This window comes from Homo sapiens, chromosome 6, assembly GCF_000001405.40.
Source record: "Homo sapiens chromosome 6, GRCh38.p14 Primary Assembly".
NCBI classification, from domain to species: domain Eukaryota; kingdom Metazoa; phylum Chordata; class Mammalia; order Primates; family Hominidae; genus Homo; species Homo sapiens.
The window spans coordinates 42,766,149-42,791,337 of NC_000006.12; the positions used below are offsets into that span (position 1 = coordinate 42,766,149).

General features: G+C 45.2%; 1 protein-coding gene and 1 long non-coding RNA gene across 10 annotated transcripts in view, besides 8 other annotated features; both read left to right on the forward strand.

Moving 5' to 3' along the window:
• BICRAL (BICRA like chromatin remodeling complex associated protein) overlaps positions 1-25,189 on the forward strand; it is a 122,218-nt gene that overhangs the window by 19,810 nt on the left and 77,219 nt on the right. For 7 of the 9 annotated variants that reach the window (XM_047418544.1, XM_047418547.1, XM_047418542.1 and 4 more), the window contains one exon: positions 15,691-15,953. In XM_047418544.1, coding sequence (XP_047274500.1) covers positions 15,691-15,953 — 263 coding nt within the window. Of the gene's footprint in view, positions 1-15,690; positions 15,954-24,427; positions 24,442-25,189 lie in introns of those variants that run through there. The other 2 variants (NM_001393499.1, XM_024446390.2) reach the window with 2 other exon arrangements.
• Positions 4,631-4,680: a silencer, noted in NCBI's record as "silent region_17207". NCBI's record gives its function as "represses an Ori minimal core promoter by ATAC-STARR-seq in GM12878 lymphoblastoid cells {active_cell/tissue: GM12878}" and the evidence as "EXISTENCE:reporter gene assay evidence [ECO:0000049][PMID:35858748]".
• Positions 5,151-5,350: an enhancer, noted in NCBI's record as "active region_24570". NCBI's record gives its function as "activates an Ori minimal core promoter by ATAC-STARR-seq in GM12878 lymphoblastoid cells {active_cell/tissue: GM12878}" and the evidence as "EXISTENCE:reporter gene assay evidence [ECO:0000049][PMID:35858748]".
• Positions 16,713-17,402: an enhancer, noted in NCBI's record as "NANOG-H3K27ac-H3K4me1 hESC enhancer chr6:42750599-42751288 (GRCh37/hg19 assembly coordinates)". NCBI's record gives its function as "activates a minimal SCP1, AML or CMV promoter by ChIP-STARR-seq in primed H9 embryonic stem cells {active_cell/tissue: H9 hESC(primed)}" and the evidence as "EXISTENCE:reporter gene assay evidence [ECO:0000049][PMID:30033119]".
• Positions 16,713-17,448: a biological region, named in NCBI's record as "NANOG-H3K27ac-H3K4me1 hESC enhancer GRCh37_chr6:42750599-42751288".
• Positions 16,839-17,178: a silencer, noted in NCBI's record as "silent region_17208". NCBI's record gives its function as "represses an Ori minimal core promoter by ATAC-STARR-seq in GM12878 lymphoblastoid cells {active_cell/tissue: GM12878}" and the evidence as "EXISTENCE:reporter gene assay evidence [ECO:0000049][PMID:35858748]".
• Positions 17,259-17,448: an enhancer, noted in NCBI's record as "active region_24571". NCBI's record gives its function as "activates an Ori minimal core promoter by ATAC-STARR-seq in GM12878 lymphoblastoid cells {active_cell/tissue: GM12878}" and the evidence as "EXISTENCE:reporter gene assay evidence [ECO:0000049][PMID:35858748]".
• LOC401261 (uncharacterized) lies at positions 17,348-25,175 on the forward strand. Its single transcript, NR_134654.1, has 2 exons — positions 17,348-19,183; positions 24,268-25,175. It is a non-coding gene; the product is annotated as an uncharacterized LOC401261 (long non-coding RNA).
• Positions 17,403-18,092: an enhancer, noted in NCBI's record as "NANOG-H3K27ac-H3K4me1 hESC enhancer chr6:42751289-42751978 (GRCh37/hg19 assembly coordinates)". NCBI's record gives its function as "activates a minimal SCP1, AML or CMV promoter by ChIP-STARR-seq in primed H9 embryonic stem cells {active_cell/tissue: H9 hESC(primed)}" and the evidence as "EXISTENCE:reporter gene assay evidence [ECO:0000049][PMID:30033119]".
• Positions 17,469-17,538: an enhancer, noted in NCBI's record as "active region_24572". NCBI's record gives its function as "activates an Ori minimal core promoter by ATAC-STARR-seq in GM12878 lymphoblastoid cells {active_cell/tissue: GM12878}" and the evidence as "EXISTENCE:reporter gene assay evidence [ECO:0000049][PMID:35858748]".

The window sequence follows — 25,189 nt, forward strand, 5'->3', positions numbered from 1 at the left end:
CGGTACTTTTTCATCAATTGCTTTAGGAGTGACTTTGTAAAGTTCTCTGATATTATCTGAGTAGTCAAGTTCTTTAGGATTGTGTCATCAGTCTCAAGTTTGCCCAGAGCTGGGGCTTTTCCACAAATCTTGGGGGTAAGAGAGAGAGATGAAGAGTTGGAGCCAGGACAAGGATCGTCAGTGGGAAAATCAGGACCAGATTCTGCTTCTACCTTCATGTGTAGATGCTGACTCTTTTGAAAGAACTACAATAAAGTCACCTGTGGATTGACCCACATGCCTTAGCTCTGAAACACGCAAACTGGCTAACTGGGGAATCCACTCCCATGCCATTCTCTAATATTTGTTCATCTAAACTTAGCATCCTGTAATGTGCTTGTGAGTCATAATTGCAATTGTAGAAAGAGAAAGAGGCCTGGCACAGTGGGTCACGCCTGTAATAGCACTTTGGGAGGCCGAGCGGGTGGATCACTTGAGGTTAGCAGTTTGAGACCAGCCTGGCCAACATGGTGAAACCCCATCTCTGCTAAAAATACAAAAATTAGCTGGGTGTGGTGGTGAGCACCAGTAATCCGAGCTACTCGGGAGTCTGAAACAGAAGAATTGATTGTGCCGGGTGCCGTGGCTCACACCTGTAATCCCAGCACTTTGGGAGGCCAAGGCGGGCGGATCATGAGGTCAGGAGATCGAGACCATCCTGGCTAACACAGTGAAACCTCGTCTCTACTAAAAATACAAAAAATTAGCCGGGCGTGGTGGCAGGCGTCTGTAGTCCCAGCTACTCGCGAGGCTGAGGCAGGAGAATGGCGTGAACCCGGAAGGCGGAGCTTGCAGTGAGCTGAGATGGCGCCACTGTACTCCAGCCTGGGCAACAGAGTGAGACTCCATCTCAAAAAAAAAAAAAAAAGAAGAAGAATAGATTGAACCTGGGAGGCAGAGGTTGTAGTGAGCCAAGATTGTGCCACTGCACTCCAGCCTGGGCGACAGAGTTAAGCCTCTGTCTCAAAGAAAGAAAGAGAAAGAAAAGAGGAGAGAGGAATGTCAACTTAATTAATTGTTTAAAAAGAGGAAAAACTGTGTTGTATGTGTGTGGATTTGTCTGTTTGCTTATTAATTCCAGTGCTTTTTTTTGTTTTCTATTTATGTCATTTAATTATTAATTAATGTCATTTAATTTTAAATGAGAAATTATGCCTCATGTAAAAGTTTTTTTGTAAAAGGCTAGGCTGAGATTCATTCATTGCCTCACCATGGATGCCACCATGAGTCTAACTCTGCTGTCTCAGCTCTGCAAACACAGATGATAGATGGGCATCTCATCTGAACATCATTAGGTCCAGGGAACACTTGTCCATGCCACCCTGACTGACTTTAATCCAGTGGGTGTTTGTTGAGTGTCTGCTACCTGCAACACCAGCCAGGTGGCTTGATATGGTAAAGACGCAAGAAATGTTAGCTTAACATATTGATGCAAGCTACTGTAGTTGGCCCTGGGGAGAAGGGAAGTATAAAAATGAACAAAGTGTAGTCTTCATCTCCTTGAGGCTTACAATCCAGGGACAGACAGGACAAGTAATTATTAGTCAAGCTGACCATACTGTGTGTTATCAAGGAGGAAGGAAGTTCTATGGAAGTACAGAGGAAACAGGAGGGTGGGAAAAGTGGGAAGGCAGGGGAGGTGTCCATAGGAAAGGAACACCAGGCAACAGGAAGAACACAGGCAGAGCTGGGTGGACACCAATTGAGAAACTTGGGAATAACACCGCATGGCAAGAGTGGAGAGTGGTCTGGAGCAGCATGGAGGAGGCGTGGTGGAAGATGGGGCTGGAGATGCCAGTCATTCTGAGGGTGCTTGGGGACCTGTCAGATGGTTTAGAGCAGGGAGTGAGGCATCAGATTTGTGTTTTAGAAGAAGGTGAAGAGAATGGATTGGAGTAGGGGAAGTGCCATTGGGAGGCTATTGTAATGTTTCACTGGATAAATGACAGGGCTTGACTGAGAGCAGTGGAAATGAAATTGAGGTTACTCAAGAATGATTTGTCTTCGAAAGCCAATCTGTGAATTTATAATGGGCATGAACTTACCAACCACTGGAATGATTAGGTCAGCTGGCCGGAACACTACTTTTAAAAGTGAAGTCCATTAATAATCAAAAGATTACTGGCTGAAAGTGAAGTGAAGGCAAAAGGAGTTGGATGGTCTGAGAGGACCTTTTACCCCATCGATAGTAGTTTTTACATAGCAGTAATACTAAAGCTTAATCTTTGGTGGGTTGTTGTTCTCTCTGGAGAGATACTTGGCCTGCCACAAAAGGAGGAGCTGCTTCTCTGGCCAGCACTGGACAGAAGCTGGCCAGCATATTCCAGGATCTTTGGTTTGCAAGAAAGTGAGCTTGCTCAGATTAGCAGGTAGAATGAGGAATAATCGTAAGGAAAGGAAATATTCCAACTCCAAAGCTAGAAAGCCAGCCAGGCCTCAGGGGACTCAGATATCAATCAGGCACTTTCTCCTCCCTTCTCCCCTCCATGCCCAGTGAGAATCTGCTTTCTTCCCCTCTACCCCAATCACTGGTCCTTCTGAGGCCGTGCACTTACATGGGCCCCATTACCACTTCTCCAAAATGGTGGCATTGCCCCCTAGGCTTTCTAGCCTTGTAGTCTGCTCCTCACAGCTGACCCAGTCTCTGTGTCCCAAGTGCTAATACCCAGAAGAGAGGATCCTAATGGCCCAGGTTGGGTCAGATGTCGTTCTCTAAGCAGGCTAAAGATGTGATGTGACAGATGCTTTGAGAAAAAACAAAATAGTAGTAAAGAATGGGTAACTCTAATATATTTTAAACGTTTCTGGACTTCATGTTAACCCAGTGTATTGGTTGTCTATGACTATATAACAAGGCACCCTAAAATGTAGCAGCTTAAAACAGCAAGCATTTATTACGTCACAGTTCTGTGGGTCAGGAATGCAAGAAGAGCTTAGTTGAGTGTTTTTGTCTCAGGGTCTCTCATGAGTTTATAGTTAAGCTGGCCCCTGGGGCTGCAGTACTGTGAAGGGTAGGCTGGGGATGATCTGTTTCCAAGCTCACCCGTGAGGCGGTCTGGCTACCAGCAGGATGCCTAAGCTATTAGCTATTGGCTGGAGACTTCAGTTCCTCACCACATGGGTCTGTCCATAGACTCTCTGAGTGTCCTCATGACATGGCAGCCAGCTTCTCCCAGAGTGAGCGATCCAGAGAGCACCCAAGATGGGAAGCTTCTGCCCTATCCTATTGGTCACCCAAACCAACCCTGGTACACAGTAGGAGGGAGGATGCACAAAGGTGAGAATACCAGGAGGTGAGGCTTGCTAGGGGCCATCTTGGAAGTTAGTTACCATATCTGGTCAAGAAACATTCCTTTAGTGCCTACTGTGTGCCAAGTGCCGGGACTGGGAGCTACATGACACAGAGTCTGTCCTAGAGCATCAAGCTCACTGTCTGGGCTGGAGAAGCCTCACACAAACACAATACCATGTGTGCTCGGAGCCCTCACCTCTGCCCACCGACCTTCCATACTGCTACCACATTTATCCTCATGGAATTCAAATCTGTTCATAGCATTCTCTTATTGTGTCCTGTTTGTCTAGAATTTTTTTTGTTCAAAAACTTAAAGATCACCACCACAGTAAGAAATACACTTATATTACAAACAAGTACATACATACACAGACACATTTATAACTGAAACAGATTTCCCAAGTTTACACCCTTACTGCTTGTATGTATTCTGGTATCTTCTGATCTAGGTTCTTTCATTTTTTATAAAAGCTGGTCACAGTCTCATGACTTGCACAGCCTACTGCATTGTGACCTGCAGTGTGGAAAGCAGCGGCCTACGGATCATCCACACCCTTCCATGATCTGCAAAGCCCCTCATCATCTGCCTGTCCCCCTCATTTATATTTAAGGACTTTGCCAAATACACTCTCTTAGGTTCCTCTACCAGGAGCTCTCTTCTGCCTTTCCCCATGTGATTTGGAGAACTCTTAGTCATTCTTTAAAACCCAGCTTTAAAGTATCTCCTGTTCTTCCCTCTCTTAGTTTTTTGTTTTCTTTTGTTTTTTAAGACAGGGTCTTGCTCTGTCACCCAGGCTGGAGTGCAGAGGCGTGATCTCGGCTCACTGCAACCTTCGCCTCTCGGGTTCAAGCGATCCTCATGCCTCAGCTTCCCGAGTAGCTGGGATTACAGGCACGTGCCACCATGCCCGGCTAATTTTATTATTATTATTATTTTTTTTTTTTTTTTTTTGAGACGGAGCCTTGCTCATATTGCCCAGACTGGAGTGCAGTGGCGCAATCTCAGCTCACTGCAACCTCCACCTCCCAGGTTCAAGCGATTCTTCTCCCTCAGCCTCCAGAGTAGCTGGGATTACAGGCACCTGCCACCATACCCAGCTAATTTTTTGTATTTTTAGTACAGACGGGGTTTCACCATGTTGGCCAGGCTGGTCTCGAACTCCTGACCTCAGGTGATCCACCCGCCTCGGCCTCCCAAAGTGCTGGGTTTACAGGCATGAGCCACCCCACCCGGTCAGTGTTTTTGTTTTTTTCGGTCTGGAGTGCAGTGGCGCAATTTCCACTCACTGTAGCCTCCACCTCCCGAGTTCAAGTGATTCTCCTGCCTCAGCCTACCGTGTAGCTGGGATTCCAGGTGCCCGCCACCACGCCCCGCTAATTTTTGTATTTTTAGTAGAGACGGGGTTTCACCACGTTGGCCACGAACTCCTGACCTCAAGTGATCCGCCTGCCTCGGCCTTACAAAGTGCTGGGATTACAGGCGTGAGCCACCGCACCCGGCCCTCCCCTCTCTGAACAGGATTGCCTACTCTGTCCTCCGACTCCCAGAGCTTTTCACTGACACCTGGGGACTGCTGGGTCCCTCCTTCTCTCCTAGCCTGCCCAGGGCCACCCCAAGCCTGCAGTAGATTTTCATTTATCTCTGTAAGAACGTTTACAAGGACATGGAGCAAATTAGCATCACACAAATGACGATGCTGCAAATGAGCGGTGTACAGGGTTGGCGGGTGTTGCAGGCAGGTTTCCTGTCGTTGGCGCCACGTGCTGCAGAAAGAGGACCCCTCCCCCTGCGGGCCGCCGCTGCGCCCGTGCATCCGTCACAGGTACAATTCGCACCGGAACTTGCGGCCCGGCTTCATTACGTGATGCTTTTTAGCTGCTCTGGTTTCTTTTTGTTTTTTCTACTTTTCTCATTTGTTTGTGTTGTTAGGGACCGCCTAGTGAGAAATTGAGCTTCAGGCTGCGCAGATAGAAAGGCCTCTATATCTGCATCCCCACCCCTGTGGGGGTGGCGGGGGGTGGTGGGGGGGTCCTGTCTGAAGTGGTAGGGAAGGAGGGTTTTGAGGTTTTTGACTATTTGCTTGCAAGTATCTAAGTAAGAGATTTGTTTGCCCACATTTGCACTCTCTTGGCTAGCAACCCGACAAAATATTTTCTGATGGTTTTTCGTGTATGTGGTTTTTGTTTTTGAGGGAGAGAATAATTAACACCTTGGTTAAATTGTACTGAGATACAATGGCTGTTTTTAAAAATTGCTGTTAACTGAAGGGTTGAAGCTAGTATAATTCCCAGGCTCAGCCTCTTGGGAGGCTGAGTCTCCAATAGCATAGTCTTCAATAGACTATGCTGTGAATTGTAATCAGAAAAGAAAAAAAAATTAGACACGAGCAAAAGCAATTAAAGTATTTATTCTCCAATATTCGCATTTCTGCATTTGTCAGCAGCTGTGGAACTGTCACAAGATATGCTGATTTGGTTGTGGTATGTGCCTGTCTGGGGAGGGGAGGAGGAGGATGAAGGCAGACTGTAAACAAATCATTATTGTAAAGTGATCAGTGGGTAATAGAGGCGTGTATAGAGTGCATAGAGAAGGGACTCACTCATTTTAAGCAATGTTTTTCAAATGGGGTCACCTCCATTAGTGAATCATGAAGTCCTTTACCAAGTGCCTAACAGCATTTGAAAAAATAAAGACAATATAGAATGAAATACATCAAGATGCATCCTCCATAGTAGGTTTAGATATTTTTTTTTCAAAAACCTTTGTTTCAATTATATATCTACTGAATTACAATGTGAAATGTGTTTCTTGGGATTGAGTCTCAAGCAAAGATGTTTGAAAGCCACTGAGTTAGGCGACGGGAGAAGGCTTCCCAGAGGAGGTGGCATTGGAGCTGGGCCTTGAAGAATGGTGGACTTGTGCCACAGGAAAAGGGAATTCCAGGCAGATGGGAAAGGATATGTCCAAATCTGGATCTGTTTGTTCAGGGGCAGGGTATTCTCTGTAAAGGGACCACAGGGTACTAGGAGAGGACTGGCTCGAGATGTGCCTGGGGAGGCAGGTGGAGCCAATTACCGAGCCACTTGAAAGTACATATACCACTTCTCAGCTTGCCCTAGAAATTCCCATTCTCTGGTTATGGATTTGGGTTTGGGAATCTGTACTTGCAATAAACATCCCTGGGCAGTGAGGCAGTGAGGTGCTGATGAAGGTGTGACACAACCAGCTCTAGAATCTAGAAAGATGATCTTTGTAGCAATTTGGATAGGAGATCAATGGGAGGCCAAGCAATAGGCGGACCTGAATTCAGGTGATGGTAATTGGCAAAGAATTACCATTGAGGGAGGATGGTATTCGAGGGAGATTTTGGAAGTGAGTTTTGTAGGGACCAAGGGAAAGCTTCACCTCCGCCCTGTGAAAGTTTGCTGAAAATGAACTGGCAGTAGACAGATTAAGAGGAGAAAAGACATAACAATTTATTTAATATTTAACATGTATAGCATGGGGGAATAGCAGGAGAATGATTACCCAATAACCCAATGAGGTCCAGGTGCCTAAGTACCCTTCTTCACAGAAGAAGGGGAGATGGGGAGTGGAGCAATTTTTTTTTTTTTTTGAGACGGAGTCTTGCTCTGTCGCCCGGGCTGGAGTGCAATGGCACGATCTCGGCTCACTGCAACTTCTGCCTCCTGGGTTCAAGGGATTCTTCCGCCTCAGCCTCCTGAGTAGCTGGGATTACAGGCACCCGCCATCATGCCCAGCTAATTTTTGTATTTTTGTAGAGACAAGGTTTCGCCATTTTGGCCAGGGTGGTCTTGAACTCCTGACCTCAGGTGATCCACCCACCTCAGCCTCCCAAAGTGCTGGGATTACAGTCGTGAGCCACTGCACCTGGCTGCAATTAAAAAAAAAAATTAAAAAAATACAAAGCATCGCCATGTTGCCCAGGCTGGTCTCGAACTTCTGGGCTCAAGCAGTTCTCTAGCCTAGGCCTCCTAAAGTACTGGGATTATAGGCAAGAGCCACCTTGGCCAGCCTTTTTTTGTGTGTGTGAGACGGAGTCTCGCTCTGTCACCCAGGCTAGGGTGCAATGGCACAATCTCAGCTCACTGCAACCTCTGCCTCCTGGGTTCAAGCGATTCTCATGCCTCAGCATCCCGAGTAGCTGGGATTACAGGCGCCCACCGCCACGCCCAGCTAATTTTTGTATTTTTAGTAGAGACAGGGTTTCTTCATGTTGGCCAGGCTGGTCTCAAACTCCTGACCTCAGGTGACCCATCCGCCTCGGCTTCCCAAAAGTGCTGGGATTACAGGCGTGAGCCACCACGCCCAGCTGGCCAGCCTGTTTTTGGGGATGATGGCCCATTGCAGCTTTGACCTCCTGGGCTTAAGCGATCAGAGCAATTTTGAAGGGTAGCAAATGATTTTTAAGAAGAATAAATGGTTCAGGGGACAGAAATTATTTTGTAAATGATTGTTTTGGAATTTGAGTGAGAGGCAGACATTATCTTGTGAAAAAACCCGTCCAGATGTGATTGCATTTCTCAGTCTTTTCTGTGACAAATAATGAGATTTCAGAGAGGAGAACTAAGGCAATTCTGTTTCTCTTTTGGGGTCCAGTAGTTAAGGAAACTTCAGAGAACATCCTGTGCTTTTGAGAGAGACGGAGGACTGAAAAGATAGGGGTTTGGAGGAGGAGAGGTCAGAGAGACCTTGAGGCCCATTCTTTAGTTCAGCATATCAGGGTGCCATCTTTCAAGCTATCATTTTTCTGAGCTCCAACAGCTCCATGGTTTGAGGGAGAATGAGGAGGAATCATAGACAAATGAAAAGTATCCAGGGGTTGGTCTAGGGGAAAGGTGGGTGTTACAAACATGCATAGAGACTAGAGAGGAAGAGCAAATTCAGAAGGGAAGATGATTACTTGAGTTTTGGTGCTTGCATGTGGTGGGGCAGGAGTAACTCATCGCATTTTCACCAGGCCGCGTGCGAAATATCCTTTCAGAGCATCAGTGTGCCCTTTGCTCTGACTGCCAATCTCTGAACATCCTCCTGATTGTCTTAGACCTGACTCAGGATTGATAAATACACCTAACTAGTAGTTGATTGTATGATTTATAGTGAGAGAGATATATAAACATTTGGAGTATAAGAGTACCTTTGCACAGGGTGTCACTTTTACAGTATTAGGGTCCCTGGGAAATGGAACTAGTAATTGGAAGATTTAGGAAAGAAAGAATTATATGGTCTAAGGGTATTTAATCAGGCTCTAAAAAGTGCTCAAGTAAGAATGTGGCTCTTTAGTGATCAGAATACTTGTGAGGGTCACACAGTGTCTCCACTCCCGTAGTTTTTTTTTTTCTTTATTGTCAAGGATATTTCTTTGTGCCTGCTTAGTACATACTTATTTCCTTGTCTTCCACTCATATTTATGAGTCATCTTTTTCAGAGTGGTTCCTTTTTTTTTTTGAGACAGAGTTTCGCTCTTGTTGCCCAGGCTGGAGTGCAGTGGCGCCATCTCAACTAACTGCAACCTCCGCCTCCCAGGTTCAAGCGATTCTCCTGTCTCAGCCTCTCAAGTAGTTGGGATTACAGGTGCATGCCACCACACCCAGCTAAATTTTGTATTTTTGGTAGAGACAGGGTTTCACCATGTTGGCCAGGCTGGTCTTGAACAATCCTGACCTCAGGTGATCCGCCCGCTTCAGCTTCCCAAAGTGCTGGGATCACAGGCGTGAGCCACTGCGCCCGGCCAGAGTAGTTCCTTCTTCAGATGTTTTACCTCTTAGTAGTTTCATTTTCAGAAAGCACACTGACATTTATTGGGCAAGTCCCTTTACATGGGTGTTCTATCTTAGAGACTGACTTTCTCACTAAGCTCCAAGTGTGCTTTGTGGTAGCACCTTAAAGCCTGATTATGTGACCTCCATTCCACTTCCTCTCCACTCCCCCATCCTCCTGAGCAGGTGGAATAGAAGGAATGCTCTATTTAGGAGAGTTAAAGAGTTCTGATAGAATACCAGGGGGACCTGGGAGCCAGTGAATGGCACATCCTGGGCATGCCTTCCAACAGCATGTGGTGCCCCCCTAACCTGATGGCTGTCCTCCCCTCAACATATTCTATGGGGAAACAGTCTACATGGGTAAGACAGGAAGGCCAGTGGGAGTGCTGAATGCTTTTTTTTTATTATTAACAGCTCTGCTGTATTGTATTAATTCCTTATCCTTGTACTGAAAGCTTGTAGGAGTTCAGATTTTTTTTAAGTCTGTCAAGGAAAATAACCAGCTTGAAACATGTCATTTAATATAGAGACAAATAGCTTTAGTCCTCTACAAGGATGATGTGAAGTGTTTAAATTCATATATTGAATAAAATAATGTAGGCAAGGTATTGAAAACATTTGTAATCACTCCAATAAATTGCTTATCATTGCTTTGAAAATAATTCCACGGTACTTTTAATAACAACAACAACCACAACAATAATGGCAACTGTTATTCAATACTATATATGGGACACTGAAGCAAAGGTTTTTTATTTTATTTATTTATTTATTTTGAGTCAGAGTCTTTCTCTGTCACCCAGGCTGGAGTGCAATGGTGCAATCTCAGCTCACTGCAACCTCTGCTTCCTGGATTCAAGCAATTCTCCTGCCTCAGCCTCCCGAGTAGCTGGGATTACAGGCACCCGCCACCACACCTGGCTAATTCTTGTATTTTTAGTAGAGATGGGGTTTCACCATATTGACCAGGCTGGTCTCTTGGCCAGGCTGGTCTTGAACTCCTGACATTGTGATCCTTCTATCTTGGCCTCCCAAAGTGCTGGGATTACAGGCATGAGCCACTGAGCCCGGCCCTTATTTTTATTATTATTTTTTTATTTTTGAGACAGGGTCTTGCTCTGTCGCCCAGGCTGGAGTGCAGTGGCTTGATCATGGCTCACTACAGACTCAACCTCCCAGACTCAAGTGATCCTCCCACCCCAGCCTCCCAAGTAGCTGGGACCACAGGCACATGCCACCATGCCCAGCTAATTTTTGTATTTTTTGTAGAAATGGGATCTGACCATGTTGCCCAGGCTGGTCTCAAACTCCTGGGCTCAAGCGACCCTCCTGCCTCAGCCTCCCAAAGTGTTAGGATTACAGGCATGAGCCACCGTACCTGGCCAAAGCAAAGGTTTTATATACTTAATATTACTGAACTCTCCTCCAACCAACCTGAGATATAGGTTATTACTATCTCCATTTTACAGATGAGGAAACTTAGGTGAGAGAAATTTTTAAACTAGGCCAAAATCACGTGGCTAAAAAATGGCAGTAATAAAACTGGAGAGAGAGAACTCTAAACCATTAGGCTGTATAGTACTGCCTGTAATCAACTGGGCAATGGTTTTACATGGTTTAAGGAGATCTACTTTACCCCCTTAATATATGGGTCTCTAGACAGAGATATGCTAATTTCTTGTAGATCTTGTGGACTGGGCTATGTTGCTTTTATTGCAAAAGCATTGATTGTGAGCAAACTATATACAAAATAACTCTGCTAGGCTCTTAGAGAATTTAAGTTTGCAGATGATGGTCTGGCATCCTTGAGGAGCTCCCTATCCAGGAGGGAACATAAGAGAAACATATTAGGTTGAATCATAGGAGACTGCCATTGAATATTCACATGGGAAGATCTCACAGGGCTTAACCTGACACATAACTAAAATAAGGCAGTACAGTTGAATGTATTGAACTCTCATTATGTTTCAGACACCATGCTAAACATTTTACACTAGTTCCTGAACGCTTAAAATAACTCTCAGAGGTGGGTACTATAATCATCCCCATTTTATAGATGAGGAAGTTGAAGCCTTGAGTGGTGAAATGACTTGCCCAAAGCCACACACCTGGTAAGTGACAAAATTAGAATTTGAACCCAGGTCAGTCTGAATACAGAGCCAGTACACTTAAACCTCAGAATATAAGTACATCTATATGTACAAATAAAAGTATATACCTTATTTATGCACACCGATAATTTAAAAAAATTTGCTTCACAAACACTCTATAGAACACTTACTAACTCTTCTGGTATGTGTTGGTATTTCTGTGATCTGGATACATCTGGTCATGCATATCACTACTCAATCTCCAGCATTTTCATTCTCCACTTCTGAGAATGTTTAACCAACCAAGGGGAACATTTGGAGGGAAAAAAAGAAAAACACTTTCACTTTTCATTGTTATGTGGACACTGGGCCTGTTTATTTGGAGGTCCAAGCATGTGTTAGAACATTTCAATTATATTTCCATCCTCTTTTTTTTTACTGTCCAGTTGCCTTTCTTTCTAAGTCACATACACAGATGGGAATCATAGGAGTGGCCATTTTATTGTACATAATTAAATTGTAGAGAATACAATTAAAGCTATTTGCATATAGTAAAGCCATTTTAAGAACTTTCCTCTTAAAAAGTTTTCTAATCTTACATTCACTACCAAAATCCTGTCTATATAAACTATAATTTTAAATTTTAATATACAAAGCATATCCCTCATTTAAATGAAGTTTTGTAATAATCTGGGGAAAAAGTTGTTTTTGTTTTGCCATATTATTAAATAATTACAATTTTGGTTGTACCTGGAGAATCTGAAATTCTCCTACTGTGTCCCAGTATTTTGTAAACTCCTCCAGACTTAAAATTAGGTTGGACAACTGGCATTCTCAAAGTAGGTCTTTACTAATTAGACAGTTGTCCCCTCTGTACCACACCACTGGACTCTAATGTTAACATTGAAACAGCAAAGACTGCTTGTTCCAAAGATCCTTTTCAGGCCTGACAGAGCGTGAGTTTTGGGGTCAGCCAGACTTGGTTCTCCTGTCTGCCCTTATTAGACTGATGTTCCCAGGCAAATTGCTGAAACTATCCTATTGGGAACCTCATTTACAAAATCAAGATAATTAAACCTTATTCTTCGGGTTTGAGTGAAAGTTCATATGATAATGTGTATAAGTATCTAGCATAGTGCCTGGTGGCACTTAGAAGACCTTCAATAAATGTCAATGTTCTTGTATTTGGACATTCTCTTTAAAAAGCCTGCAATGCCCTAAGCTCTTTATGAGTATATAAATTCAGGTTTGTTAGGTCATTTTTCAAAGTCAGATTTCAGTTTCCTTGCAATTCTGGCTGACTTGAGAGGATAGCTTTCCGAAATCCATTACTGTTTTATTGGAGGGCCCAGCACTGTGGCTTACACCTGTAATACCAGCAGTTTGAGAGGCTGAGGCGGAAGGATCACTTGATCCCAGGAGTTCAAAACCCAGGGGGCAACAAAGCAAGACCCTGTCTCTTATTTTTTGCGGGGTGGGGGAGGGACGGAGTCTTGCTCTGTCGCCCAGGCTGGAGTGCAATGGCGCAATCTTGGCTCACTGCAACCTCCACCTCCTGAGTTCAAGCAATTCTCCTGCCTCAGCCTCCTGAGTAGTTGGGATTACAGGCGCCTGCCACCACGCCTGGCTAATTTTTTTTTTTTCTGTGTTTTTGGTAGAGATGGGGTTTCGCCATGTTGGTCAGGCTGGACCCGTCTCTAAAAAACTAAAAAAATTGGCTGAGTGTGCTGGTGTGCACTTATATTCCCAGCTACTAGGAAGGCTGAGGCTAGAGGATTCCTGGGGCCCAGGAGTTCCAGGCTATAGTGAGATATGATCATGCCTCTGCACTCCAGCCTGAGTCACAGAGGGAGATCCTGTCTCAAGAAAAACACACACACACACACACACACACACACACACACACACACACACACACACATATCATTGGAGCTGTGGAGCAACAGCTGTAAAACTTGCTTGGTTGGTCCTAATTGCAATGCATAATATATGGACTCTTGAAATGTAATTCTTAGAAATGGGTATTATAATTACATCCCAGCCAATCCAAAGGCAACTTAAAACATGTTTAAAAAATTTTCCAAGCCAATTAGAAAACTGGTTGGTCCAACCATCAGGTGTAGAAAAATATGCTAATTTATGCAAAGATTACTGTTCCAAGGAGCCCTTGGCTGCATTTGAAGCAAAATATCTGAGAAAACACCTCAATGATACTGTGTAATACTAAATCACTGAATGTATTTTTAAGGCACATTTAAATATAAAGCATACATTATGAATGATAGAATGGCAGTACCAGAACAAGATATAGTGTTTTTCTTTGTTTGTTTTTTGAGACAGAGTCTTGCTCTGTTGCTCAATCTCAAGCGATTCTCGTGCCTCAGCCTCTCTGTAGTAGCTGGGACTACAGGTGCATGCCACCATGCCCGGCTAATTTTTGTATTTTTGGTAGAGACGGGGTTTCACCATGTTGACCAAGCTGCTCTTGAACTCCTGGCCTCAAGCTATCCTCCCATCTTGGCCTCCCAAAGGGATTGCAAGCGTGAGCCACGGCACCCAGCCAGATCTTTTTTATTATTTTTTAGAGACAGGGTCTCACTCTGTCAGCCTGCCCATAGCTCACTGCAACCTCCAACTTATGGGCTCAAGCAGTCGTCCTGCCTCAGCCTCCCCAGTAGCTGGAACTACAGGCATGTGCCACACATACCTGGCTAATTTTTAATTTTTTTTTTAGAGATGGGATCTCGCACCATGTTGCCCAGGCTGGTCTCAAACTTCTAACCTCAAATGATCCTCCTCCCTCAGCCTCCCAAAGGGCTAGGATTACAGGCTTGAACCACTGTACCCTGACTAAAAAGATCTTCTGTGTTGAATATGACAACATTGTATGCCGGCCCCAACAGATTTAATTTATGCAACATAGTCCAGTTACAGTATCCTTATATATGCAAGAAAGGTGTACTACCATTACATTTTTTTTTAATGCTTAAGGGGATATAGAAGCCATACAATAATTTCACTTAAATAATTTTAATCTAGAGAGAGTTTTATTGAGAACTCACCAAATATCTGGGAGAGATGGGCTTGAGCCATTTGAGAATAGCTACTCCATAGGCAGAGCAGCTGAGCATTCTGTTTATCAGCAGGATCCTATTGCTATATGCATTACAAATGAATTTTAAAATAATTTATAACATTTCTTAGGCTTAATATGTATTTTTTAAAACCTGAATTACATTCTGTACAATTCACCTTTTACCTATCCTTGATGTTTATTTAAAATAAAAGACAACAAAACCCCTAGTATATTTTGTGGGCATTTGTAGTTAACCTAGACTACAAAGGCACCTGCTCCCACTCCAGGCCACGTAATGTTGTTGTTGTTGTTGTTTTGTTTTGTTTTTGTTTGAGTCTTGCTGTGTCGCCCAGGCTAGAGTGCAATGCGCGATCTCCGCTCACTGCAACCTTTGTCTCCCGGGTTCAAGCGATTCTCCTGCCTCAGCCTCCCGAGTAGCTGGGATTACAGGAGCCCACCACCACGCCCAGCTAATTTTTGTATTTTTAGTAGAGACAGGGTTTCACCATGTTGTCCAGACTGGTCTCGAACTGCTGACCTCAGGTGATCCACTCGCCTCGGCCTCCCAAAGTGTTGGAATTACAGGCGTGAGCCACCGCGCCCGGCCTGGGCCACATAATCTAAATACTTTGGATACTAGATAGTTTACAGAGAAGTTTCAACAATTTGAGATTTGAGATTAAAAATAGGTGGTAGTTATACTTGGACCAAAGAATGTTAAAAGATTGACTAGCTCTCTTTTAAGAATGAGGGGGTTATGTAATGAAAATTCCGCAAATATAGAGATAAAAGATATCTACATAAAGAGAAGGCAGTAGAAAATGAATGTTTTGAGAGTGATTTACTCTGCCTCACCTTCCTTTTAGTCACTGAAGTTTTGTTTTCCTTTTTAATGTTCACATACGGGCTTCACAGGTAAGGTTTCAAGAATTTTGGAATGGACAAAGAGTGTTGCAAAGGAAAGCTTAGTACATTTGAAAGTTAGGATGAACCAGTTATTTGCCTAATAACTAAGTTAAAAGTCGTTTTGGTTTTTAAAAAGCATATGCAAAACGTATTCACTGAGGCTTGCTCTAATTAGAGTTCTAAACAAATCTTGTAGGGTTTTTTTTTTTTGTCTTTAATCTCCCCCCTTCCCGTGTCAAGTTAAACTGGGTGGGTGGGTGGGTGTGTGTGTGTGTGTGTGTGTGTGTGGAGAGAGAGCCTGCAAGAGAATTAGCACGCACCTCGTGGATCTTAGTAATTGTTTTAAAGCCAAATAAAACTGTTTCTTGAATAAACCAATACATTTCTGAAGTTGAAAAGAATCCCAAAGGAAACGAATGAACATCCTTGCAGCTTGATTTTCCAAAAAAAAAAAAAAAAATTTTTTAAATTAAAAAAATCCTAATCTCCACATTTTTTGCCAGGCGAGAACCGAAGTTTGGAGGTAGACGAGCAGGCGAGCGGTTTGCCCGGGCGCAGAGCATGAAGGCCGGGCGGGCGCGGGGAGCGGCGCCCCGGCCCGGCGCGGGGGTGAGCGAGAGAGAGAGCGGAGCGCGTGTGGCCGGCGCCGCTCGGCCGGGAGCTCCCGCGCTCCGGCCCCCGGCCCCGCGCCCGCCGCCGCCGCCGCCGCCGCCCCTGTTGCGATGGCGCAGAAACCCCGTTGACAAGGCACTGCTTTTTCATGACGGTGAGTTTCCCTTTGAGTGTATTATAATTTTGTGATAAAAATTTCAAGGAGAAAAAAAAAACACACAACCTCCTTCCTCTGCCTCTTTCCTTCGGGGAGGGGAAAAGCGAGGGAGGGGGGGCTGGAGATCTGTCTCCAGACTGAAAAGAAAGGAGCAAATTAAACACCGAGTTGCCAAAACCAGGATATTAGGTTTCAGCCCAGAGAGCTATTGGCTAAGGCTGTGTTTTTTTTTTTTTTTTGGGGGGGGGTGGGTTTGTGGGTGGGTGATGGTGGTGGTGGGTGGATGTTTAATGGACACGGAGAAAAGGGGAATCGAGTGTTTATGCCTTTCCCAGCGCTGCCGGGGCCCCGGGAAGACCAAGTTCAGTGTCTCGGGCGGGGGCGCAGGCGGGCAGGGGGCGGCGAGGCCGGGCCGGGGGCGCCTCGGCGGGGTGGGGGCCCGGCGCCTTTCTTTTTCCTTTTTTTTCTTTTCCGCGGATGCAAATTTCTGGAGCGGGGAGAGGGAGAGCCCGGGAAGGGGGTGGCGTGGCGGTTGGTGGTGGGGAGGGGAGGGGAGGGAAGCCTTTTAATGACTCATTGATTGAGCCGGTTTAAAATTAGTTGTGTGCGCGAGTGTGAGTGTGTTTTCCGCCCCCCGGAGCCGCCGGGAGCCGGGAAGGAGGGAGCAGGGCTCGGCGAGGGGAAGACGGCGCGGCGGGGCCGCGAGCAGGGGGCAGGGAGGGCCTGGAGTGACGGCGGGCGAGGAAGAAAAATAAGCTTTTCCAATCTCCTCCCCTCTGTTTTCCCCCCCTCGTTTCTTTTCTCTCTCGGAAGCTCTAGGGTGTGAATCACATTTTCTTTCTTCTCGGCAAAATGGACCCCGCGTCTGGGGAGGGGGAGGGGAGAGGGTGGGGAGGGAGGCGGCGGAGACGGGGTTTATTTTTCATCCTGGCTTCCCCATTCCCGCCGCATCTGCGGGCGGCCGCGGCGAGGAGAGCAGGTCCGGGGTGCGGCGGGGAGAGCTCGGGGCAGGCGAGTCGCCCCGGCCCCGTTCCCGCTCCCGCTCCGAGCCCGCGGCGGCGGCGCGCACCTGCCGCGGGACTGCCCCTTCCCAGCCGCCTCGCTGCCTTTTCGAAGCACCGCCGAGGATCCGCGGCCGCGTCCGGCCGAGCCCCCAGCCGCGCGGAGGACCGGCGGCCCAGCCGGGCGTCTCCTGCGAGGCCCGCGCTGTTCGCCGCGCCGGCCAGAAGAGATGTGCGGCTGGGACGGCGCATTTTTGGCCGAGTGCGCGCGGGCGTTATGCTGTTCGCGCCCCCCCGAGTCGCCCCAAATGCGGGATATTGGGTGGGGGGGTGCGGTTGGAAGGCGCTAAGATGGCGCTGGGCCTGGCCTGTCGCCAGGGCTGGTGGCGCAGTTGCTCGGCGGGCGCCATCTTTCTCGCGGCGCGGGCGGCGCCCTCCGAGGACATCTCGATGACCAGGGCGCCGCGAGGCCCGGGGCTAGCGGGAGCCGAGAGCAGGGTGCTGAATTCTGGAGATGGGACTGGGGTCGCGCGGCCTTCTCCTTCCCCACGCCCCCAGACCCAAAAGACGAGGCCGCCGGCTCGGAGCGGGAAGGGCTGGGGCCAGCTTCTTCCTCCTAACCACTTGTTTGTGATGGAAGAAGGGGGCTGGGGGTCGAGCCTCGCGGCTGATGGGTTCCCTCCCTGACCCCGCACCCCCACTCCTCCCAGTCGAAATTGGAGGTGAGGCGCTCCTGCCATTTTCTCTCCTGCGGTCTGAGAGTGGACGTCTTTGTCTTCTCTGGCCCGGCGTGGGGGCAGGGCATTGAGCCTTTTCCTTAATTCTTCAGTTATTGAAAGTAGAGTCCAACCAGGTTACAAAACTAAAAAAAAGAGTCCAGGACATTGTCTGTCTGCCTTCCGGTAGCATGGTTCTCTGTGGGTACCCTACGCTTCGTTTCTTAGTTTTACTCTAAAACAACCCTGAGGAGACATTTACTAGTTGTCAGATTACGGGAAGGTGATGGGTTCCAGTTTTTTGAAACTTTTTTTGTTGGCTTTCATATTACTTCAAATGGCAGTGAATTAAAACAGTTTCTTAGAACTCTAATCTGAAAAGTTAAATACGCTTTAAAACAGTCTGAAACTCTTCTAAAAAGCAAAACTGCATTATTAAAAGCATCCATGTAAGTATCTGTTGGTAGTATCTATTAGAGATGGGGGAGGGGTTTAACTTTTACATTATTATTGAAAAGAGGAGGGGAAAGGTCTATAAAGCTCTGATCTCTCTAGAAGTCCACATACATGGAAAGTAAATAGTTAATTTCTAGTGTAGAAAAATAACACCGTGGTGCCAGTAGGTGTGTCCTTGTGTTTATAAATATACATAGTGGATGTTTTAGACCATTTAATGAGACCTATTATATATTGAATACCTGCTGTATGCCAGGAACTGTGCCTGATGCTTTGTATAATTTCTATTATATCAGCCCAGAAATAGTGATTTTATGATCTGTCTACCGGGGAATGAACTAACGTTCATAGAAGTATAGTAATTGTTCGAGGTCTTGCAGTTTTAAGTAGTAAAGTTGCCATTGGATCACAAAAGCTGTATTCTTCCCCCTACACCTATGGTTTCCAAATGTGAGCATCAGAATTAATTTGGGAGATGTTTTTAAATAGAGATTTGTAACATCACCTCTTCCACCATCATTTGCTAGGGCCAACTGGGTCTTTTAATAATGTGTCAGGCACTCCAACTTCTTGATGTTCAATATTGACATTCTGGCCCACCCTGCACCCGCTATATCCAAAGATCTAGTATTCCAAAGCTCTCCAGGTGATTCCAGTGACACAGACACACGTTTGGACTGTCTTGTACTATGCTATGCACTGTTCTGCTCTTTTTTGAATTGGAACATGAGAATTGAGGTCCATGTAATTTTGAGTTTCAGTAGTTTTTTGCTCACATTAGTCTCATTTTTGTTTTTCCTCTTGTAGCTGCCATTTATCAAATCGAAATTATTTCCTCAGAGAAAAAGGTTTAGGTATCCTAAGACTTTAAAATCTCAGTACGTTTTTTTTTAAAGTATGTTGTCTCATTCTATTGAGAAGTTATACAACATACAGGCTTCTAGGTCTAGCCAGGCCATCTAGTTTAGTCAAGACAGCTGTGTAACAAACGTAGCCTTGAGGCCTGGCACGGTGGCTCATGCCTGTAATCCCAGCACTTTTGAGGCTGAGGCGGGCGGATTACCTGAAGTCAGGAGTTAGAGACCAGCCTGTCCAACGTGGTGAAACCCCGTCTGTACTAAAAATACAAAAAAGCTAGCCGAGTGTGGTGGCAGGTGCCTGTAATCCCAGCTACTTGGGAGGCTGAGGCGAGAGAATCACTTGAACTGGGGAGGCAGAGGTTGCAGTGGCCCGAGACCCCACCATTGCACTCCAGTCCGGGAAACAAGAACGAAACTCCCATCTCAAAAAAAAAAAAAAGAATTGAATCCAGGATTGATCCAGAAATTGAGAATAGGGTAGAAAAGACCCTGATATAAAGACCTGAAGATAAATCCTTAAAAGAAAAGGTTGTTTCCTGAATTTTGAATTGTGGACATATCTTCTGGGTTTTGGGAAGTAGGATAGTCAAGTTATGTGGAACCTAATAGCAGAATATGGATAAAAACACAGGTCAGGGCCAGGCACAGTGGCTCACACCTGTAATCCCAGCACTTCGGGAGGCCGAGGTGGGCGGATCACGAGGTCAGGAGTTCGAGACCAGCCTGACCAACGTGGTGAAACCCCGTTTCTACTAAAAATACAAAAATTAGCCGGGCTTGGTGGGCACATGCCTGTAATCTCAGCTACTCAGGAGGCTGAGACAGGAGAATGGTTTGAACCTGGGAGACGGAGGTTGTAGTGAGCTGAGATCGCGCCACTGCACTCCAGCCTGGAGACAAAAAACACAGGTCAGGAAGAAGCATCTAGAGCAGGTGATGAATAGATGACCTTACTAAAATGAGAAAGAACCAAGTCAGTGATGAAATCATTAATTTCTCTGGATTAAGGATCATGGATTTTATTTTGTGCTTTCTCTTGTTGATTCTTCTCAAATCGTTGTGTTTAGTAATTGCTAGGGAGAGTAGTTTAAAACTTAGATTTTTGATGCAGATGTCAGAATTATACCATCTTTGCATATGTCCACATTGGAAAGTTTTTGTAAGGAGCATTTGTTGGATACCTCTGTGCAGTCTGTGTCCAGTCTAGACCACTAGGTGGGTGGAGTGACTTCCAGTTTTTGAAGGGAAGTCACTTCTGGTTTTTCTCCCCTTGTTTTTTATGGTAAATGCCAAAGTAATTATAATCTTTGACTAGACTAAAATCCAATAAAGCTTGAAAGGAGGGGGAAATCTAAAACTGCTTAGAGGGAAACAGTAGCTTCTTTAACCTTGTTGGAATTTTAAGACCGGCAAGATCTCTGCACTCATGAAATTTACAGTATAGTGGGGAAGGACAGAAAATAGTTAAAAAATCAAGATAATGACAGATTAAGAAAAAATATTAAGTGGCTGGTGGATCTAAAAGAGTATGTTGGGAATGACCATTTTGGCTAGTAAGGGTCAAAGAAAGTCTTTTCATAGAGGTGATATTTGAGCTGAGACGTGAAACATGAACTTGTGCTAGCCATGTGAAAAGCTGGGGAGACATTTCAGACCTGGGAACAAGTTCAAAGACCTGGAAGGCTGGTTGTTAGACTGGAGAGAAGGCTCCTCTGAGCAAGGGGAGAAATTATGAATAGGGTAGGAATGAGATGGAGTTGGAGAGATCCTATAGGTCGTCTTGTATTACTCCATAGGGGGATTTTTGGATTTAATTCTAATGGCAATGAGAGGGGTTTTAATTTGGGCAGTGATAATGTTTTTAAAAATAACTGGCTATTTAGAGGAAGAGAGGAAACAGGGAAGTTAGGAGGCTATTGTAGTCAGCCCAAGATCGATAGTATCTCAGGCAAGTAAAGTGGCAATGAGATACAGCAGAGTAGACAGCAACTTTTACATATGTATTTTGGAGGTGGAATCAGAAGGATTTGCTTAATGGGTTGGCTGTGGAGGGAGAGGGAGGAATCAAGGGTGCCTTCAGGTTGCAGGCTCCAGCCTTGGGCTGCTGATGGTACCATTTGCTGGTTGGAGAAGACTGGAGGAGGAACAGGTGGAGAGGAGTGGGTAGCAAGAGTTCTGTGTAAATACTTGGGAGGCATCCAAGCGGAGAGTTAAGTAGGCACTGAATATTTAAGTTGAGCTGAGGGGAGTGATCTAGACTGGACATAAATTTTGGGAGTCACTAGTATACAGATGGCATGTCATGGAACTGATTGAGATTGTTTGTGGCCTTAAGATCAAGCCCTGCGAGACTGGAGTAATAAAACTCTGGTCTCCCACACAGCCAGCTCTGTGTGGGGAAAAAAAAAAGCCCTAAAACACTAACAACGGCTAAAGCTTGGGCAAAGGAGACTGAAAAGGTTCAGCCATTAAAGTGGGAGAGTATTTTATTATTTTCAAGAAAGAGGGAATGGTCACCTCTGTCAAATGCTGCTGAGAAGTTACACAATGAGAATAGAGAAATGTCTATTTGGATTTGACAACATGATGGTGACTGTTTTGACAAGTGGTCCAAGCCACATTGGGATGCTTCGAAGAGAGAATAGGAAGTGAGGTGAATATCGACAGCTCGTTAGGGAAATTTTGCTGCTGTAAAGTGGAGAGAAGCAGCTTAGTGGCTTCAGAGGGAGATGGGGTCAAAGAAGAGGGCTTTTTTTTTTTTTTAATTTTTTTTTAAGACAAGATGTCACTCAGTCATCCAGGTTGGAGTGCAATGGTGCAAATTACGGCTTACCACAGACTCAACCTACTGGGCTCAAGTGATCCTCCTACCTCAGCCTCTCCTGAGTAGCTGGGACCACAGGTGTGCACCACTGTAACCCAACTAATTAAAAAAAAATTTTTTTTATAGAGACAGGGTCTCCCTATGTAAAGAAGAAGGCTTTTCTTTTAAACAATGGGAACTAGATAGGCTAATGAGAATATTTAATAGAGAAGGTGAGACTAATCCAGAAGAGAGACCAAGACTACCAAGGGAGCAGCATTCTTTTTTTTTTTTTTTTTTTTGGAGACAGTTTTGCTCTTGTTGCCCAGGCTGGAGTGCAGTGGCGCAATCTCAGCTCACTGCAACCTCCACCTCTTGGGTTCAAGCAATTCTCCTGCCTCAGCCTCCCAAGTAGCTAGAATTACAGGTATGCACCACCACACCCAGCTAATTTTGTATTTTTAGTAGAGACGGGTCCACCATGTTAGCCAGGCTGGTCTCGAACTCCTGACCTCAGGTGATCCACGCACCTAGGCCTCCCAAAATGTTGGGATTATAGGTGTGAGCCACCATGCCTGGCCGGGAGCAGCATTCTTAAGGAATTCAAGACACAGGAAGAACACTTGCCTTTAGTGGGAGCAAGACAACGCAGTGTGGCAGAAGACAAAGAATGGGGGCACAAGTGCAAGGTGAATTGGAGGTAGAATATAGGACTTAACTTTCTGACGGCTTCTGTTTTCTCAGTGAAGTCTGAGGCAAGGCCGGTGACTTAAACAAAGAAGGGGTAGTGGATAATTTCAGGAAAGATGGACACTTCACCTTGAGCAACAGGACAAGGAACTGAGTAACTGGGAAACAAGGTAGTTTCAATGCTGGGCATTGTTGAATCCCTTGCCGTGGCTTGGGGCCATGAATTTAAGGTGAAACCAGTCAGCTGAGTTAGTTGTGTGATTTTTTTTTTTCTCCTAGCAACATTCAGCTGTTATGAGGGCAGCGAAGAGCAGGCAGGTGATCAGTTCACCCAAAATTCGTGTTTTGCCCTGCAGGTTTGACAGAGGAGAAGCAGTGCCAGAGGCTTGAGAGTAGTTGCAAGGGGGTGATTTTGATGATGAACCTTGAAATGTTAGCTGAGTAGGAAAGCAAGAGAAGAATCAGAGTGGGGGCCATGAAAATCATTACTGGCTTAAAGTGAGTTAATGGGCGCAGAGTTTCAGTTTGGGAAGATGAAAAATTTCTAAAGCTGGATAGGGCTCTTGGTTTCACAGCAATGTGAATGTATGTAATGCCACTCAACCAAACACTTTTAAATATTTAAAATTCAGTAACTCTATAGAGAAATAAAGGGTTTTCCCAATCCTGGAAAAAAATGGTTAAAATTGTAAATCTTACATATATTTTACCATAGTAAAAAATGAATTAGGCTGGGCCCATGGCTCACACCTACAATCCCAGCACTTTGGGAGGCTGAGGCAGGCAAATCGTTTGAGGCCAGGAGTTCAAAACCAGCCTGGCCAACATGGCAAAACTCATCTCTACTAAAAATACAAAGAAAATAGCCAGGCATGGTGGCACACACCTGTAATCCCAGCTACTCAGGAGGCTGAGGCATGAGAATTGCTTGAACCTGGAAGGCAGACATTGGAGTGAGCTGAGATCTTCCCACTGCACTCCAGCCTGGGTGACATAGCTAGACTGTCTCAAAAAAAAAAAAAAAAAGAATGAACACTTAAATATTTGTGGCAGATAGAGGTGTTATTTGCATATGGAAGAAAATTGCTTTAGAAATGAAATTTCAGATTACTGAAACTAAAGAGAAAGTATCTCTTCTTATCATGGTACCAAGCTTGAGGGTGCATAAGTCACCTATAGACGTAGAGATTGTAGTATAGGACCTGGGAATATTACATTATTTGCTCCCATGTTTACTGTTTTGTTCTAAGCCTTTAGCACAGCATTCAAAACAAGTTGAGCACTCAGTAAACATTTGCTGACTCAGTACTTGGAGAACCTAGGTAGAGTAGAATGATGGGAATCAAAAGGAAAACAGTATTCTGTTAGAGATCAGCAATATCTTACACTAGTAGAGGGATCTGTGAGAAAAAGAATCAAGACCATTGAATGTGTGGCGGCTTATAGCATTTGACATTCTGATCTGTGCACGTGATGAGAAAAAAAGTCTGATTACAGAACAGGGAAGGAGAGAAATAAGCATTGAGTTTCATTTTTTGTTTGTTTTTGAGACAGGTTCTCACTGTTACCCAGCCTGGAGTGCAGTGGTACAATTGTAGCTCACTGCAGCCTGGACCTCCTGGGATCAAGGGATTCCCCCAACCTCAGCCTCCCAAGTAGCTGGGACTATAGAAATGCAACACCATGCCCAGATAATTTAATTTTTTTTTTTTTTTTTTTTTTTTTGTAGAGACAGGGGTTTCTCTTTGTCACCCAGGCTGGCCTCAAACTCCTGGGCTCAAGCAGTCTTCCCACCTTTCCCTCCCAAAGTGCTGGGATTACAGGCGTGAGCCACTGCATCCTGCCGAGAAAATCATTTTTTATTTAAATAATGTCAAATGGAAGTATGTAGCACCCCCCCCCCACCTTCTTTTCCCCTTTCTTTCCTCTTTGAGTCTGCTGTCATTCCCTTTTTCATGAGTTTTCTCTGCTCCCCAAATAGGCTAAACAATAACCGTAAAGTGAGATTAGAGAAAATAAGAATGGAGTAGATGATGGAATTCAAAATAGCTGTCTACATTCTTCACTGAGAAAGATAGCTTTGAGTTAAAGGTGAGAGGAGCAAATCTGGGGAAAAACGGGTGAAACGGCATGATTTAAGTAGCATACCAGATGCGTTTCTGCATGGCATGGCTCTTGCTTGATGAATAATGTTCTGTATAGTAGAAGAGGAAAATACAGTGAGTGAAGGAGCTGGCAGAAGGTGGGCTGGGGGAGTTGGGGAAGAGTGAAATGAGTATGGAGAGGTGAGAGAGCTGACTGCAAAGGCATGTGGGGTGTGGATTTTAAAAGGAAAGCCCTGAGGTGGAAATCACTAACATGGTGCCTGGCTACAAGCAGAGGGAGCTCAGGACTTGACTGTGCTGGGGGTGGCCTGCCCTTTTGTAGTGCAGTTGAGGAGAGCTCAGGGGCTGTCAGAATGCTGTGTGGGAAGGTGGAGGATGAAAGAGGACCTGGGAGCAGCAACTTTGTTCTGGTTTGTTGTTTTCTCTTCCCTACCTCGTATGTACTCCCACTCAGGAAAAGATCCTGAGACCTCTCTGTACCAGATCCTCTTATACCCAGGTTCTCCTTAATCCCAATCAACTTTAATCTATAAAGTTACGATTTGTTTACTTATAAATTTATTTTTAATAAAGTTGTGAAACCGAACATGTTCTGTTTTTGT